At 34.6% G+C, this 18,650-nt stretch overlaps 1 long non-coding RNA gene across 1 annotated transcript in view, besides 2 other annotated features; it reads right to left on the bottom strand.

The window, feature by feature from the left end:
• Positions 1-18,650, bottom strand: part of LOC105375630 (uncharacterized) — a 559,756-nt gene that overhangs the window by 120,356 nt on the left and 420,750 nt on the right. The gene's annotated exons all lie outside the window — the stretch shown is intronic.
• Positions 14,831-15,330: an enhancer, noted in NCBI's record as "H3K27ac hESC enhancer chr8:89764143-89764642 (GRCh37/hg19 assembly coordinates)". NCBI's record gives its function as "activates a minimal SCP1, AML or CMV promoter by ChIP-STARR-seq in naive H9 embryonic stem cells {active_cell/tissue: H9 hESC(naive)}" and the evidence as "EXISTENCE:reporter gene assay evidence [ECO:0000049][PMID:30033119]".
• Positions 15,331-15,832: an enhancer, noted in NCBI's record as "H3K27ac hESC enhancer chr8:89763641-89764142 (GRCh37/hg19 assembly coordinates)". NCBI's record gives its function as "activates a minimal SCP1, AML or CMV promoter by ChIP-STARR-seq in naive H9 embryonic stem cells {active_cell/tissue: H9 hESC(naive)}" and the evidence as "EXISTENCE:reporter gene assay evidence [ECO:0000049][PMID:30033119]".

The raw sequence follows: 18,650 nt of genomic DNA, 5'->3' as shown, positions 1-18,650 counted from the left end.
ATATCTGAACCTAACTTGCCCTCGGACACAGCTTTCCTAGAAAGTGGCTAACTTCTTATGGTCACTTTTCAAGGGAGAGAACTCAAGACCAAATTAAAACAAACTATATCAATAGAAATCACAAAAACATGTGTAAATACTATAGATTTGAACTATAGTAAACTCATATCCGGCAATTCTTCATGGGAGATTATTAGCTTAATGGGGTACTACTGTTTAGAAATTATATGTATTCAATTTGTTTTATAACAGTCCATATTTCAATTTTTCCCTTTTGTTTTTAAATAATTACTAAAACATTTCAGGTATTTCTCAGCTTGTCTTTCACATAAGAAAGTAGCATGACTTTATTTTTCAGATTATAGTTCTCGAAAGATTATTTTGAAAATATTGCCATCACAGTTGCCTCATTTGTTCCATCCATATGACCATTCACCCATCCATTCATTCATGCATTCATTCATCCATACATTCCTCAGAAAAGTTTAAAGCATTTTTATTCTGTGTCAGGAATACAGCTGTTGTCTGAATATACACTTATAAATATGGCAGGCAGAGTCCTTCTGTTTTTCAAGTTTTAGAGGATGGGATGATAGAAAGAAAACTAGTATTTTTAAAATTACAGATTGGATACATGTTTTCAAAACATTTTATATTAGATATATGATATTCTCTTTGTGGTGATGACATTTAAGCTGAGCCCTAAAATATTAGATGTGGCTGGGTACCATGCAGGAATTGATGCTACTCAGATGAATATGTTTTTAAAAGTCATTTAATGCAAAAAGCATCATGGACTTTAGTGAATATTTTTTGAAGATTAATAAAAACTTAGAGAATGTACAATAATTACTTCCCTTTATACAGAGATGCTTAATTTCCTTTATTCTCTTTTTTCTTTAGGTGAGGCAATACTGAGTAGAAGCAAAAAACGAAAACAAAACTAAAAAAAAACCCTACTATGTAGATTAGTATCAAAGCTCTGTCAATTACCAGCTGAGGGAACATGGGCTACTGAAAATAGGTCACTGTATCTCTTGTGTTTGAAGCTGAAACTCAGTATCTCTCGCTTATTTGCTATTTCTTATAAGGTTTAAATTAGCACATATATATTACTTACAATTATAAATTACTCAGAAATGACAGATTGTATGAGCTGCATATATCTTAGCTATTATCAACATTTAAAAATTTACTCTCACTTCTGTTTTTTCTGTGATTCCCGAATTTGAAAGAGTTACTTTTTTTTGTTTGTTTGATTTTACATTTGTTCTAAGACTTTAACTCACATTAATTTTTTTGTGTCCTCCCCCATCACCACATGAGATGGTTCTCACTAATAGCTATAACATATTTCCCAACCTTTCCCTAAGTAACATTTGACACAGTTAAACCTCTCATATTCCTTAAAGGTCTATTGGCTTCCATGATGATATCTTACATTCTTCCCCTTCTAAATTTCTACTCATTCCTTTATGACCTCCTTAATGAATACTTTGCCATATACTCTACCACTGATACTTGAGCATCCTTTAGAATTCCTCAGGTAGTCTTCTATTCTCTTCATATTCTAATTGTGGCCATATTTACATTCACACCTTCAGGTGATGATTCCCAAGATTCCCAAGATTTGCATCTTTAGTGTTGACTTCTTTCTTTCATGCTGCAAATAGTGTTTCAGATTTCTTGTAACATAATCACCATCTGCAAACTCCCCAATGTTTGAAACATATATTTACTCAGCGTAAAATCCTTCTTCTTAATGTTTTCTTCTATTGACTCCTACTGATACTCAGTTACCCAAGGGAAAACTTTATTGAAATACCCCAGTTCCTCTAATCTGCAATTAAGTCCTAACTTTTCTATTTCTTTGATATCCCTCCAGTCTGACTCCCTCTATCTCTAGTGAAACAATGTTACTCAAATGTTACTAACAATTTTCTCTAGATATTTTTTTCAATTGTTTCCTAATTGGATTTCCTCTCTCTACTCTTGTGTCATTCTGATCCATCTGCTGCTCTCCAGACCATCTTTTTATCATCCATGTTAATCCAGGTAGCAAGATATAAATTAAGTCTTGGATGCAGTAAACAATATTTCCAGAGACTTTTTTCTCCTCTTGCTATCAAAGGATATCGAATTTCTAACCCATACTTTTCTTCCTCAATTACATACCATTTCTTTTTTTTTTTAAATTTCTTTATTTGTATACCTTTGCTGAGGCAATTTCAGCTATCCAGGAAGCCATATGACGGCTTTCCTGACTTACTCTGTGTGTCCCTATGTCTGGTTGAGACCCAAAGCTGAATTATGTATGTCTTAGAAAATCTTGTCTGTCTACACACTCTTAACCTGTGGCCTGCTTCTTCAAACTGTGTAAGACTCCAACCTAGTTAAATTGGCCAGGAATAGAAGCAGACATTTCCTTTCGTAGGCATCTGTACAAAAACCACTTCTTCAAAGACTCTTAACATTCATTGTAGATAATACATGAACTTGGGGATGAGTTGATTCCAACAGTCCATAGAACACACCTAATCTATGAATTTCACTTTAGATTTAGCTGTATACCCAGCTTTAAAAATGTGCCACTTAAAATAGTGCTCCTCATTTTGGAAGTAAAAATACTTAAACATAGATATTTATATAATATATAGAAAGATAAAATAGAGATAACATAATTTTTTATCTCTTAAGTATTCTTTGGTTTTTCTCTTGATCATACACAAGAAGGGATTTGGGTTCACAATAAGATGGATTAAGTTCAATACTGGTAAATAGGAAAATGACTAAAAATGGTTTCTGATATTCAATAAATATTTGGTGAATCATTAAATGGATGGTTAAATGGCAGAGGGAGTACTGTGTTGATTGAACAGACAAATCCAAATGAAATAGCATTTAAAAAGCAAAGGTAATTGCTATTGTCTCGGCAGCACTTTTATTTTTTTTAGTTATTTCTCAAGGCAAAGGGAAATAAGATAAATTCTCTCATTTAATCATATGTTTATTAAATTGCTGTTCGCTCACATTTTCCATATGCACCTTTATGCCTAGCCTACATATAGGCACTTCATAAATACTTAAATCAACTTCATATGACTTGTCAATTTCTTTCAGGTCAATTTAATCCAAGCATTCTTGAGTTATGTATTAAAAATAATCTCTATTTTACTTTTCATGAATAAAATGTAATATTCTTTGGTTTCTTTAACCTTTAATGTTACTCTAAGCTACTCAATTTCAGATCATTTTAATGATCTTTCACGCATATTCGAGTTAATCCAAAATTTATATCATTATTCCTTTATAGACCTTATGTCCATTCATGTTCCATTCACTCCTAAGTGTATTTGCTCACTATAATTTATATAAAATGTCTAAAACAATACTTGATTTATTCAATCAAAAGGCAATTTTTATTCAGAAAAAGGTAGTTGTTCTCTTCTAAGGTTCTTCCCTGATCTCATTAACTCTATTTCTTCCCTTGTATTTTGAAACATTTTTACTATTTTTATTCTAAAGCCTCTTTTAGATTGTTTTATTATTTGTAATTCCAGAGGTATTACGCCCTAGTTTTTTTAACTATAATTTAACCAATTTTCCCATTTTTGGGGGGTGGAGAGGAGGTGATGACAAAGTCTTTATGTTTTCCTATTTGGTAGACTTTTTAGGTGGTCCCTCTCTTGCTAGCTGTGATGAAGCAAGCTGCTATGTTGGAAAGCCTGTGTATTGAGGAACTGAGGACAACCTCTGGTCATCACCCAGTGACCCTCAGTTACAATAGGCCCTGAAAACTGAATACTGCCAAAAACAGCTGAGTGAATTTCAAGGCAGAACTCTCCCTACTGGAGCTTAAAATAAGACAGCAGCATATAAGAGACCCTGAATGAGAATCCAGCTAAACTGACTAAATTTCTGATCCATAATAATTGTAAGAAAAAAAATCTGTGTTACTCTAAGCTGCCAAGTTTTGTGGTAATTTCTTTATTTCTTTTTTCTTCTTTTACCTTTTTTTTTTTTTTTTTTTTTTTTTGAGATGGAGTCTCGCCTGTCACCCAGGCTGGAGTGCAATGGCGTGATCTCAGCTCACTGCAACCTCTACCTCTTGGGTTCAAACGATTCTCCTGCCTCAGCCTCCTGAGTAGCTGGAACTACAGTCACCCGCCACCACGCCCAGCTAATTTTTTGTATTTTTAGTAGAGACGGGGTTTCATCATGTTGGTCACGCTGGTCTCGAACTCCTGACATCAGGTGATCTGCCCGCCTTGGCCTCCCAAAGTGCTGGGATTACAGGTGTGAGCCACCGCGACTGGCCAAGTTTTGTGGTAGTTTCTTACGGAACAATACATAATTAATACACACTTACGTTTGAATAATTTTTGGTGTGGGAGCTAATTACCCCTATTCTCATCCCAAAACTTTAAAGATGTTGTTACATTCCTTTGTATTCTATAGTTTCTGTTGTTTCTTGGATATTTGTATTTTTTAACTGGCTGTTTTTAACATGTTTTTCTTCATCTTTATTTGGAACGGAATGATTATGAAGTGCCTAGGCATAATTGTCCTTGTATTTATCCAGTTTAAAGTTAGTGATCTTAGTGAATTCATAGATTGATGTCTTCCTTCACATTTTTTAAAATTAAGCTTTTATTATTCCAATATTTCTCTGTTCCATTATCTCTTTCTCTGGAAAGCTAGTAATATTAATTTTACATTTATCGTTTTTGAAACGGAGCCTTGCTCTGTTGCCCAGGCTGGAGTACAGTGGAACAATCTCGGCTCACTGCAACCTCTGCCTCCTAGGTTCAAGAGATCCTCCTGCCTCAGCCCCCCAGTAGCTGGGATTACAGGCACATGCCACCATGCCCCACTAATTTTTGTATTTTTGGTAGAGACGGGGTTTTGCCATGTTGGCCAGGCTGGTCTAATTTTACACTTATAAATGTGTTCCACTTGTCTTTATACTTCACTCTGTGATGTTTCTTTATTCTTTGATTTCTGTGTTTCACTTTAGATATTTTCTATTGAACTCCTGAATTTAAACCTATGCAGTAACTCCTTAATTTTGTATTATTATGTTTTCCAATTTATAACCTTCCATTGGTTTCTCTGAAGTCTATATTTATCTGTTGAAATGCTCTACTTTTTATATATTTGAGCTATTGTCTACTTTATTTTATTTTATATATTAATCTTAGCATTTTGAATTCTTTGTTGTCTAATATCTAACTCATCTCTGGATTTACTTTTATTGCTTTCTTTTCTTTCTTAATTATCAGTCACTTTTTCATGCTTTTTTATATCTAATATGTATTTTTAATTTTATGCTGAAATTGTTAATAAAACATTTAAATATTCTACATTAGGTAACTTTTCCCTAAAAGATGTTTCATTTGATCTGGTAGTCAATTAAATCGCCCTCAGATGATTTTTTCATTTTGGAGTTTAAGTTTTGTTAGGACGGTTTCTTTCAATTCTTATCTTAGTCCTAACCAAGTGTGTGCTCCTTACTGCTGGGTGTGCCTACTTTGATGCTAACTGAATGCACGAGTAATCGTCAAGATTTTCCATTTAGGATGGGCCAGGATTCCAGGTCTTTCCAATTCTCTGCTCCTTCATTAATCTCTGTTTCTTTTATGTTTCCCAGAGTCCTGCACTACACATGTGCAACTTTAAGCTGAGTCTGTAAGAAGCTAAGTCTGTAAGAGCATCTTAAACAGATTTTTTAAATTTCTTCTATGTGATCTACCTCTATTAAATCATGTCCTTAATTCTGACTTGTCTTAGAAACTCCAGCACTCTAATACCTGTTTCATTTTTCCTGTCCTATGACTGTTCCTTTCTGCTTGGAGGTCATTTTTCTGCACCATAGTTTCAAAAGCTCTCAGAGTGAAGATTCCTTAGTATTTGCCTCATGGTGTATGCTTCTCTCCTCTCAAAAAGAGTAATTTTTATTCTTTTTCCAGATGTCATAATCCCATGCAGGACTACAGCTCTGAGGATTCAGGGATTCAGTATGCTAGGCAGGAATCGGGTTTCTTTTGAAGGATGCCACAGCAGAAGCAGAGTCATGAAATTACATTCAGGTGGCTGTATAGGCCAGAGAAAGCACCAAGGAGACTGGATTGACTTGAGTAGACTTTTGAGACAGCTTTAAGAATTCCTAGAAATGCATTCTGAGGACTTTGAGAGAGAACTGAGATGCTATGGTACAAAGATGAAGGGAGTGATCCAATGCAATCTGAGATATTGTAATTAAAGCAAATTTCTTCATACCCAAGTCCTGGAATTGCTTAGCAAAATTCAGATTACTTATAATATTTGTGCTATTATAAATATTTAAGTATAATAATAATTAAAATATTTAAAGTATATCTATCCACGGTGTGTATTTGGGTATGTGTCTCATTTCATAGGCAATGGACGGCCTTTAGATGCAGCATAGGAAAAGCAAGTCCTTAGGAACCACAGCTAGCTGCCTGCTCTCTCTCCAGTAAAGGCAGCATTGTGCCTGCCAAACCCTGGAGCTTAGCATATAGGATGACATGATTTAGATTTCAAAAAATCGTAACCAAACTTAGATTGATATCAAACCTAAAATTTGGAATCAGAAAATGTTTAATTTCCTAGGAAAAGCTAAAAACACAAACAAAAACAAAACAAACAAAACATGACTACCACAATAATAGAAACAAGAGAGGCAACAGTATCAATTAGCAGGAAGTAGAAATGGTGATTTTTCTTTGGCTTACTCCTAGCAAGGAAGCTGACAATCCTTTGCATGTGGTGGAGATAACCAAAGGATTACAAGTTAGGGGCTTCCATTGGAAGGTAGATCAGTACCTGAATTCTTCAAAAGTCACATGTATCTTCAATAAAGTGATTATGGTGTCACTGGAAACATTTATCTCACAGAAACCAAGAACATATACGGAATTTGGCAGACTACCATTTACTATAAAACACTTTGGGAATCATCCACTTAGAAGCTAAAGGAAGCTCATTATCTATCAACTCAACTGATGCAAGACTGACCATGGGGAAAGTAAGCGAATAAGAAAGAAGAGAAATACCAAGAAAATAACAGCAAATACTAAGTAGCCATTTGTGGTATAATAAGAAATACACTTGGTATTTTTTCTCAGTTCCTAGCACAGCTCCTAAAACCCTTGAAATTTCCTGAGTGACAGAAGTGTCTTTTTTAAATTCATAATGAGCTCCTTTGGATCACTCCTGAGTTTATGTTAATAAGGTAGTTTTGTGTAGGGCCCCAGATATTTTCAGGATGGGGCTACTCACCAACAAGACCAAGTGATTAGAGGATGGATCCAGTCTCACCCGCCACCAACCAGAGAAGAGAGTGGGAAGGAGTAGAGACTGGAGATTAAGCTGTATAAAAGCTCTCAAACCATGAGATTTGATGAGCTTCCCAGTTGGTGAATGGTTCCACATGCTGGGAGGTTCATGCACACCAACTCCAAGGGGAGAGCAACTCTTGTTCTTGGGGGCCTTCATGTGATTGTTTCTAGGTACCTTTTCATCTGGCTGTTCATCTGTATCTTTTATAATAAACCAGAACACATACTTATGTTTCCCTAAATTCTGTGAGCCATTCTAGCAAAGTGTCAAACCTGAGGAGAAGGTCACAGGGACCCTCCCTACAGATGATTGGCCAGAAGAATGGGAGGCCCAGACTTGTGATTGTGCTTGAAATGAGAGCACTGTCTTGTGAGACCAAGCCCTTAACTGTGGAATCTGATGCAAAATCCAACTAGATGGTGTCAAAGTTGAATCGAATTGTAGAATACTAGCTGGTGTTAGAGAATTAATTGGTATGAGAAAAAATTCACACATCTGGTGTCAGATGTATTTTGTGTGGGTGTAGAGAAACAATTTTCCCCAGAGCATTATTTTTTATTCTAAATATATCAACAAGTTAATGACGCCTCTGTAAAATATCCGTTATATAATATTGCTAAAGGGACTACTGAAAGTGATATATTTCATATTCTAATCAAATTTTCCAGTATTTGTCAAATATTACCACATAAGCAATCCAAGGTTTTCCCAGTAAGACCTAAGAGGCTAGTTATAGATTATAAACAGACTCCATTAAATTAGTTAGACAAATATAGAGAGATCAATAAGAACTACAGTTAGTACACACCTTTTCTTTTCAGGAACAAATAATTCTAAAGCATTAATCTATTTACTTTGCTTCATATGGCACATGAGACACTGAAAAACAGGAGCATTGAGGGCATAGTTTACAAGGTTCTAATGCCTTTTGTTTTTGAAACAGAAACACTGAAACCAGTGCACTGTCAGTAAAATGACTGTCAATTCATCTTTAAATAAATGAAACATTTATAGAATATTTAAACTTTCACAAACACCAGCCTCGTAGACACTAAAGCTGCTAGTACTCTGTATCTATCTTTGAAAAGATAAAGAACTGAGTCAATTATGTGGGGTTTAAAATTATGCCAGGGAGTCTGAGTATTTTGAACACAGAGCAGAAGACAGAGTACCCAAAGATTCATTTATAATATAAAGCTCTCTGCTACACTATGGTGTTTTCTTGTAATGACTCTCACTTTGAATCTTGATAACTGATTTAAAATGTATTCATTACAGAAGAAAAATAGGATTCCAGATTCCCACAATAAAGGGAATACAAAAATACGGTACATGAAATTATAAATCTTTTATTGAATTATTCAGTTATCTAAGATTATAGTAATTAAATGTGTTTTTTCTCTGCATCAGTATTTTTGCCATCACATATTTAATTCCTTCCAGAAAGGAAAGAGTTATAAAAGTCTTCAATTTCGAATATCACCCACAAAATATCTTTCAGTAAGCAGATTAGATTAGATATGCCATTACAGAGTTATGTAGCAGTTTGAAGTCTATTTTTTCATATATTAAGCTCACATGGTATGTAACTGTCATAATCAAAAAGCAGTGCTACTTGGGATTTTTAAATATGCCACAAAGAAAATAATGAACTTGTCTCTGTTACAGATCCTGGATGTAAAATATTAAATGCCAAAGATTCTTCAACAGGATTGTAAAAGGTATAGCTTAAGATAGCTAATTAAAAGAGTTTAGGAAACTTTTCAATCCTATTCTTATTTGCCTTCTCAGAAGCATTTGACACAGTAAATCAATCCCATATTGCTTTTGTGAAAGTTACTTCTCGTGGGTTTTGGAAGACCACAGTGTCCTTTGATGGATTCCCCTCCCTGACCTGACTCCTAAATGTTGAGCCTCTCAAGGCTTTGTCCCAAGCCTTTCTTTGTTCATTTTCTAAATTCTCACCTTAGGCTCTTTAGCGGGCTTTATATGCCAGCTATATGCTAACATTAAAAATGGAAGAAAGTGTTAAAGCTCTAGAGACAGAGGAAAGGCTTAGAAAGTTCTTGGTTTTAAATACTAGCTGCTAAAAAGTTGATCTCATAGAAGTAAAAAACAGGACAGAAACTACTAGAGGCTGGGAAGGGTAGGAGGAAGGGAGGAATAGAAAGAGATTTGTCAAGGATACAAAATTACAGCTACATAGGAGAAAAAAGTTCTAGTGCTCTTTACCACTGTGGGGTGATGATAGTTAAAAATAACATATAGTTTCAAATAACCTGAAAGGAGATATTGAACATTCCCAATACAAAGAAATGGCAAATGCTTGAGATTATGGCTATGCCAATTTCTCTGATCTGATCACTATACATTATATGTATTGAAACATCACTATGTACCCCATGAATATGTACAATTATTATTTGTCAATTAAAATAGATTTTTTAAAAATCAGCCATATTCTATATTTCTTAAATGTAAACTAAAGCTCAGACCTCTGCTCTTAGCTCCAGTCATTTATTTAACTTGCAAGTTAGTTATTCCTCTTAGATCCTCATAAGTATCTAAGATTTATCATGTCCCACCAAAATTAAATGTACTGTATGTAGGTTTTCTTTATTTCAGTAAGTGACTCTTCATCCACACTCGGTACCTGGAAGTCATCATTAAACTATTTAGAACTCAGAAGTCATTGTTAACAATTCTTTATTCTTTACATTCCAATACTGTATTAGGAAGTACTGATATGGGTATTTATAAAATATACCTGAAATCACTCATAAAATCCTTGTCACCTGAATAAAAATGTCTTCTAGTGGTGCCCATTTCTATTTTGATTTTATCCAAAGGATTTTACACCTTCATCAAACTAACATAATAATACAGAAAACATAGTCATTTAAATAGATGGTAGAAAAGCATTTAACAAAATTTTATATATATTCATGTTAAAACAACCAGAAAAACAGTAACATAAGGAAGTTACTTCAATCTGCTAAAGAGTATCTATGAAAACCTTACAGTTAAAATCATAAGAAGAAACACTGAATGTTTTCATCCTAAAATTAGTAAAAAGGCAAAGAAGTTTGCATTTACAACTGCTAGTCAATAATTGATTGGATTTTATGTTAGTGCAATAAAGCAAAAAGGAACGAAAAGTCATAGATATTAGAAAGGAAAAATAAAACAAATTTACTTACAGAGGACATAATCTTTTATGGAGAGAATTCCAAGGAATCATTAAATAGACACAAAATTATGAATTTAGTAAAGTTGCAAAGGGCCATGTGAATGCAATTATATTTCTATATACTGGCAAATAATACCTGCAAACAAAATTTTAAAATGCCATTTACAATAGCACTAAAAACATGACATACTTAGGAATGAATTTAGCAAAATATATACAAGACCTGTACAATGAAACATATGATATTCTGTTGTAAGAAATTGCAAAAGAGGAGAACAAATGGTGAGATATACCAACTTCATAAATTGGAAAACACAATATTTTTATATTATCCTAAAATTGATCTAAGGAGTCAACACAATACCAGCCAAAATCTTTATATGTTTTGTTTGTTTTGCTTTGCTTTGTTTTGGTTTCAGTAAAAATTTTCATATTGATTTTAAAGTGACAAATATCTCATTATCTCACTTCACATATTTATATGTAGACTATAAATTTGTTCTCTTAGAAATAGACAGTAGAATAGTGGTTACTAGAGGATGGAGAAGGTAAAGAGGAGGTGGGAATGGGGAGAGATTGGTCAATCAATACAAAGTTACAGTTAGGAAGAATAAGTTCAGTTTTCCTATTGTACAGTAGGATGACTAGACTTAACAATAGTGTATTGTACATTTCAAAATAACTAGGACAAGTTCTTTAATGTTCTTATTACAAGGAAATGATGTTTAAGGTGATGCATATGTTAATTACCCAGATTGGATCGTTGTGTAATGTGTACATGTAAAAAAACACATTATAACTCAAAAATATGTACAATTAGTATGTCTATCATAAATTTTAAAAATGAAATAAAAAGAATCTTTAATAGCCAAAACAGTTTCGAAAATAAAGGACACATTTTAAAGACTTTATTTCAAAACGTTTTTTGTTTTCTTTTTGAGACAGGGTCTTGCTGTGTCACCCAGGCTGATGTGGAGTGATCTCCACTCACTGCAGCCTCAACCTCCTGGGCTCAAGTGATCTTCCCACCTCAGGCTCCCAAGTGCTGAGACTGCAGGCGTGAGCCCAGAGAGTTATTTCTATTTTTTGTAAAGATGGAGTCTCACCATATTGCCTGGGCTGGAAGACTTTGATAAGGCTATTCTAATAAATACACTGTTACGTTGATATAAGAACAGACATAGAAATTGATCAATCAAGCGTAGATGTTAAAAGTATTTTACTTCTTAAAAGAGCATAAAGGGAAAAAATCTACAATCTCTGTGATTTTGTTTTGGTAATTTTTAGATAAGAATGCCCCAAATCATGAACTGTAAAATATAAATAAATAACTTAGGGATTACCAAAACATAAATGATATGGTTTGGCTGTGTTCCCACCCAAATTTCATCTTGAATTCCCACATGTTGTGGGAGGAACCTGGTGGGAGGTAATTGAATCATGGGGGCAAGTCTTTCCTGTGCTGTTCTCATGATGGTGAGTAAGTCATACAGATCTGATGATTATATAAGGGGGAGTTTCCCTGCACAAGCTCTCTTCTCTTGTCTGCCGCCAGATGAGACATGCCTTTCACCTTCCACCATGACTGTGAGGCATCCCCAGCCATGTGGAACTGTAAGTTCATTAAACCTTTTTTTCTTCCCACTCTCAGGTATGTTTTTATCACCAGCATGAAAAAAAACTAATACAATACATTTCTTCTTTCCAAAAGAGATCCCCAGAAAATAAAAATGCCTAGTACGGATTGGGAGGAAATATACATATATCTCAAAAAAACTGGTATCCAGAATAAATAATGAATTCTTATAATTCAACAATGAAAGGACAATTCAGTGAGTGTGGGTAACAGATTTGAACAACCATTTGACACAGAAAGTATAATAATCATCAGTAAGCACACGAAAATATGCTCAACGAAGAAAGCTTCAATATAATTTTAATGAATTGTAATGAGATGCTATTGTATAACCACTAGAATGCCAAAAAATAAGAAGACCAGCAATATTAAGTGTTGGTAAATATGTAGATCAATTGGAATTCTCGTCCATTGTGGGTAGGGATGAAAAATTGTGCAGTCACTTGGAAAATTCCTATAAAGCTAAACAATTACCATATGATACAGAAAATCTACTTTTAGATAGTTACAAAAGAGAGATTAAAATATATTTACACAGAAATGATTTGTGTGAAAATGTTCATAACAACTTTATTTACCATAACCAAAAATGAAAAGCAACCCATATGTCCATCAGTGGATTAATGGATAAGGAACTATGATATATTAAAATAATGGAATATTGTTGAGCAATAAAAAGGAACAAATTTTGGATATGCAAATTATTGTCAAATTTTAAAACATGCTGAATGAAAGAAGGCAATAAAAATGTACACATTGTAGAATTCCATTTGTATGAAATTCTAGAAAAAGCAAAACTAAACTATATTTCTAAAAGCAGATCAGTGGTTGCCTGAGGCTGAAAGGAGCACAAACAATTTTTTGGAGTGATGGAAATTTTCATACTTTCATTGTGGCAGTGGTTACACAGAGGTATATATTTGTCAAAATTTATTCCACTGTGCACTTAAACTGGGACCTTTTATTGTATGTAAGCAAGCAATGTTACTTTAAAATATATAACCTAGAAAAGAGAAGATAACTAAACCTCCTGACTTATAATAAAAATACTACCATTTATTATGTACTGAACATGAGCTAGGCCTTTGTCTAAGTACTTTAAATGCACTATCCCACTTAATCCTCATAACATCCTTAATTAGCAGAAACTATTGCTATCTGTCTTATAGATGATGGAAGTAAGTTTTAGAGAGCAAGACAACCAGATTTTTTCTTGCATTAAGCACTCAAAGATTATTTAGTGTTGTCTTAAAGTTTCTAGAAAGCTAAAAAAAATTCCTATTTCTACTTTTTAAATTGCTTTTTCTTGGCAATGAGATTAAGTCTACTTCCTGTGGAGTGAAACCTTGAAAATCAATACATCTGTTTAACAGTTTGAGTTATCTGGAATTCTCATTGGGGCCTTCTTCCTATATAAAAAACAGGCCAAAATGATGACTTCAACATTATCAAATGTAAAATGAAACCAACGAATAGAAAAAGCATTCTACATTTTAATGTAAATTATATATAAATAGCTATGCTACATGCATGCAGTTTCTTCCAAAATATGATGATCTTCCCACATTTAAATTTTTATAGGGATAAACTAAAAATATAAAAAAACTTTTAAAATATATACATAACATTGTACAATAATATATGAAATATACTTTCTGAGGATAGAAAAGTTAACAAGATTGGAATTAAAGATAATATTTTGCTAAAAAGATATGCTGATAGCAGCATATTAAATTTTGCACAGAAAATATAGTATCAGAAGGAAATTTTCTGAAGAGAATATTTAATCTTCCTCAAATTTCTATTTCCTCTGTGTATAGTCGAGAGTCAGAATGTCATTTCCAATAGTGTTCTCAGTGTCTTCAGAAGGTTTCTTCCTCCTGCATGTCTTGGCTACCCTTCTACAATTAGTTATTACTGGTAGCAGACAGCAAGCATGTAAATAAAAAAAAAATTATGTATTTCAACAATTTAAGATATACATAATATTTCTAACAAAAAGCTTCATAGCATTTCCCTTTTGTAAAGTTTATCTTATAACCTATGTGTAGAATTCAGAAGATCTTACTATAGGTGATGCCTTTCATAGAACAATGTATGTTCATCATTGGCCTTTGCCTTTATGACCCAAATTTTCTCTGCAAATTTAGGTAAACTGTTCTTATAGACACTTTATTCAAAGAATACCTTATTCAGAGAATAAGATTATATATGTATACATGCCCACATATGCACATACATTCATGTATACACATGCACACACATATACATGTCTATATTATATATTTATAATTTATGTCTCTGGAAATAGTGAGCAATATGATCAATGACCTAGATTGTCACTTGAAATTCACTATAATCATATCTAACAAGTAATATTGGTAGCAGGAGGAAGCAGACAAATTCCTAGGCAGAAGGGGCGGGTCCCCATAAACCTGACTTTCAAGCCAAAATCAGCCTGAAGCCTGAAAATAGGGTTGCCAGTTTGGGATGGAGTCTGCAACAGGAGTGAGAACTTCTATTCCTGTTCACCCACTCTTTCCCAATTGGTTCTTTCTAAATAGTGCTTTTTAACCAATCAAATGTTGCCTTTTCCAAGGCTACCTAAAGCCCTCACCTCCCCCATTATAAGCCTATAAAAATCCCAGACTCAGCCATACAGGGAGACTACCTGCCTTCAGGTAGGAGCTACCCACTTCAGGTTCCCTCTCTGCTGAAGGCTGTTCTGTCATTCAGTAAAACTCTTCTCCACCTTGCTCACTATTCAGTTGTCCTCATAACCTCATTCTTTTTGGATGCACGACAAGAACCTGGGATCCGCCAAACAGTGGGTGTGAAAGGAGTTGTAAAGCTGTAGCCCTCCTGCCCTCTGCAGGTGTCTAGTGGTCACCTTACATAACAGGAAGCAGTGTCAGGACCGGGCCAGCCCAGGAGTTGCAGGTCGGAGCGGTGCAACAGGACCGAACAAGCTGGGACATGCCGCTGTTCTCCAAAACGTGTGGATGGCAGGAACCAATGAACTGTAACACAAATGAGCTGCGACCCTTCTGGGGCCCAGACCTCAAGACTCCCCAAGCCAGAGTGGTAACATACTGTAACACCCTCTTTGAGGCTCCATGGTTCCTGGCCTTTCTGAGTTTTTCAGGTGCTACCACATTCCCCTCATCCAAACACCAGCACCCAAGGCAGAAGCTGCTTGCAATACACCTGGTCCAGCTGCAGTCTCGCACAGAGCCAGCACCTGGAGCTGCTTTCCCCACAACAGCAACCAACATGCCTGGCTCACCGTTGGCAGGCGTGAGATCTAGGCCGCTAGCATGCTGAGCCAAGTACAGTTTGCCAGCCCAAGTGGGTGGAACAAACCCAGCAGGTGCAAGCAAAATTCAAGCAGGGGTGCTGCTGGCCACGGAGGTCTCTGGCTGGTGAAGCAGCAGTGAAAATATCCTGTGTCAATATCTTATCTCAGTGAATGCTATCAGTAAGAAGTAAGAAAGCATTTTATGCAGAAGGTTTTATGAAAACCCATCAAAAAGGAATATTCTTGGTTTATGTACAATGAGCTTTCTACAAAGAATGATTTTGTACATTTCTCCCTGTCATGCTTGACCATAAAACCTGCCTAGTGATTAAACAGTAACCATGAGTCTGTGTCCAGACATGCAAGTGAACATACAGAACAAAAGTAAACAAATAAAAGCCACTTAAAATGATATTTTCAGTCCTGGAAGAGCAGAAAGGAGGATATTGCTGAACTTTTGTAAACAAGCATCAAAGAGTAATTTCTCTTTGGTTTTATTTTCTCTTAAAAACAACTCTGACAACCCAAATTCAATATTTATCTTGATTCCCAAATCCTTCAGTAATCACAGGAAAACTGGATACTACAAGTTTTGAGATTTGGAGGGAAAGCAAAACATGGCATGGTCAAAACTACCTCTTCACGTGGGCAGGTATGTGTGAAATAAACTCCACAGAATTTATCGAATATGTGCTACAAGTTATTGAGGAAGAGCCCGAGGGGAAAAAGCCAGACTCTGTTCTCACCTACATAAAACTTACACTCTACTATCCAGAATGATGGGTTATTTTTATTTATTCATCAATACACTTAGTGAGCAGCATCTGTGACCCAGGCTAACTGCTAGGAGTAGGGTGCTAGATACTAGGTCAGACCTTCAAGTTTTGAATAGACAAGCAAATAATTAATAGCATTTAACACTATGGTGTGAGTGATGTGTGATCATGGAAGATAAAATAGTATGCCATGAGATACTGTAAAAAAGTACACCAATATATAGTTTCCTTAAGAGGCCAGAATCAGCACACGCTCCTCCAGATTTGTAAACAGGATTGACACTGTAGCAAAATAAGCATGATAAGATATAAATTTCATAATAATGTGCCTTACTAATAGATCCAACTCTCCTAACATGGTTATTATGAAGAGTAAGAAGTTCTTTGCAAAGTCTTATTAGCCCCTTTAACAAGTTTTAATACAAACTGATGCTTCAATTACTAAGTTAAACAGTTTAATTAACGAGCACAGAATTGGAAATCATGTTGTTGTTTTTCAATACAAACTTGTCAATTGAGGGGCTGTGGTTCTGACAAGTCACTTAAAGAATGTGCTTACGTTACCTTAGATACTGAAGAGAGTAATATTTATTTTCTCATCTACTTTACAATGCTTGTATAGTAATGGAGCAACTACTTTAGCTCCAGAAAAGAAAAATGGTGTGTAAGAACAAAATACTCTAATGCTATCATTTAATATTACAGAGAAAGAGTTGTAATAAATTTCAGCATTTTTACTTTCAAAAGACCTTTCTCTTCATTAAGGTGTCAGTGGCAACGGAGGAAGCAGTTCAAGGGCTGCAAGAGGACAAGCATCAGTAGATTCCCGCCAGGTCCAGATTGGATTTCAACTTTCATTTGAAAAATTAAAAAACTCTGGACTCTAAATTTTAGAATTGGTCAGAAAAATGTGTGACTGACATTCTTTCTTCTGAAAAGTAGTTACTAAACATTTTAACTGCAGGGAACCTCATTAGTCCAAATAATTACAGCTTAACTCTGCATCAAACTGGCAACAAATGTATCACTGAAGATGTACAGATGCTTGTAAAAAATACTTTATGATGGCACATTCTTTCCATGTTTTGCTATTATAGAGTTATTAAAGAATGTGTATGAAACAGGAATGTGTGCAACACACACACATATGATTCATACTTAGATGGTCAAATATTAAATGGTAAGTTAAAAGGAAATGGTTTGAGATCACACAAGAAGCCCCTGAAAGAAAGGAAGAGAGAGAGAGAACATCAAACTACTTGCAAAACGATACATAGACAAATGTACTATTCAGCCCCGATCCAGTTCCGTGTGTGCCACAGAAGCAGCCTTGGTCATTCACAAAAATAATTCAATGAAATTCCAAATTTAATATGACTGCCAAGCTAATAAGCAAATTTGTTTCCATTAGTAGGTGGCTTGCTATTCAGCTTGAGAAAATCAAAACCAGCAGTGAATTCAACAATTAAGAGGCACTTTTACCCAAGCCATCTAAGTGAGCTATAGGTATTTTATTTACTTATTTTCTTTTTTATTGACAGATAAGATTGTTTGTATTTACCATATACAACATATTGTTTTGAAGTAAATATGCAGATGGATGAATACATCTACCTAATTAACATATGCATTACCTCATAAAGTTGTCATTTTTATGGTGAGACTCCTTTATATTCACTCTTTTAGCAATTTCAAGAATCCTGTATCTTGCTACCTATAGTCACCATGTCTAGTATAGATGATTCTGATGTTCCCTTTGTGAATTTCACAAAAGAAATGAGAACGAAAGCCAGAGAGAGCCAGTGGGTAAAGCAGGGGGATTAAGAAATTAATATAGATAAAATTAAATGACTTAAATATTCTCTCCTCACTCTTTTGACTCAATCCACAACTCTGGAACACATATTGAATTTTTAGACTTAATCATTTCAATTTCTCTAAATCACTTTACCAAATGTCCTCCTGAAGGCAGTGAAATGATATATTAAAAAATTTGTATGGATATAAAGTCACATGTTCCCAAGGGATAAGTGCATCATCACAGAAAACTTTGGACCCTGCTGGATACATTCTTGACACCAGTTGAGGGAAACTAAAGCAAAAGAAATCAGAGAAACTAGCAAATGCCATGTAATTGAATGTATTTAAAATAGCTCCTGCCTTCTATGTGTGTCTGGTATCTGGACTGCAGGTCACGTTATGTTCCACATATATCTATAAATCTCCTTTAACAATATTGTATATAATAACATCTCTAATGATTTGTAAAGAGTAAGGAAGCGTAAGACATAAACTTTTTCATTTAAATGGACTGGGACACACAGATACACATAAAATATTTTAAAATGCTAAAAAATGCATAACAATGATCTACTGATTTATTGTTAG

This window comes from Homo sapiens, chromosome 8, assembly GCF_000001405.40.
Source record: "Homo sapiens chromosome 8, GRCh38.p14 Primary Assembly".
Taxonomy (NCBI): Eukaryota; Metazoa; Chordata; class Mammalia; order Primates; family Hominidae; genus Homo; species Homo sapiens.
Note: the sequence above shows the minus strand (reverse complement) of the source record. Positions and strands in the feature narration are given on the sequence as shown.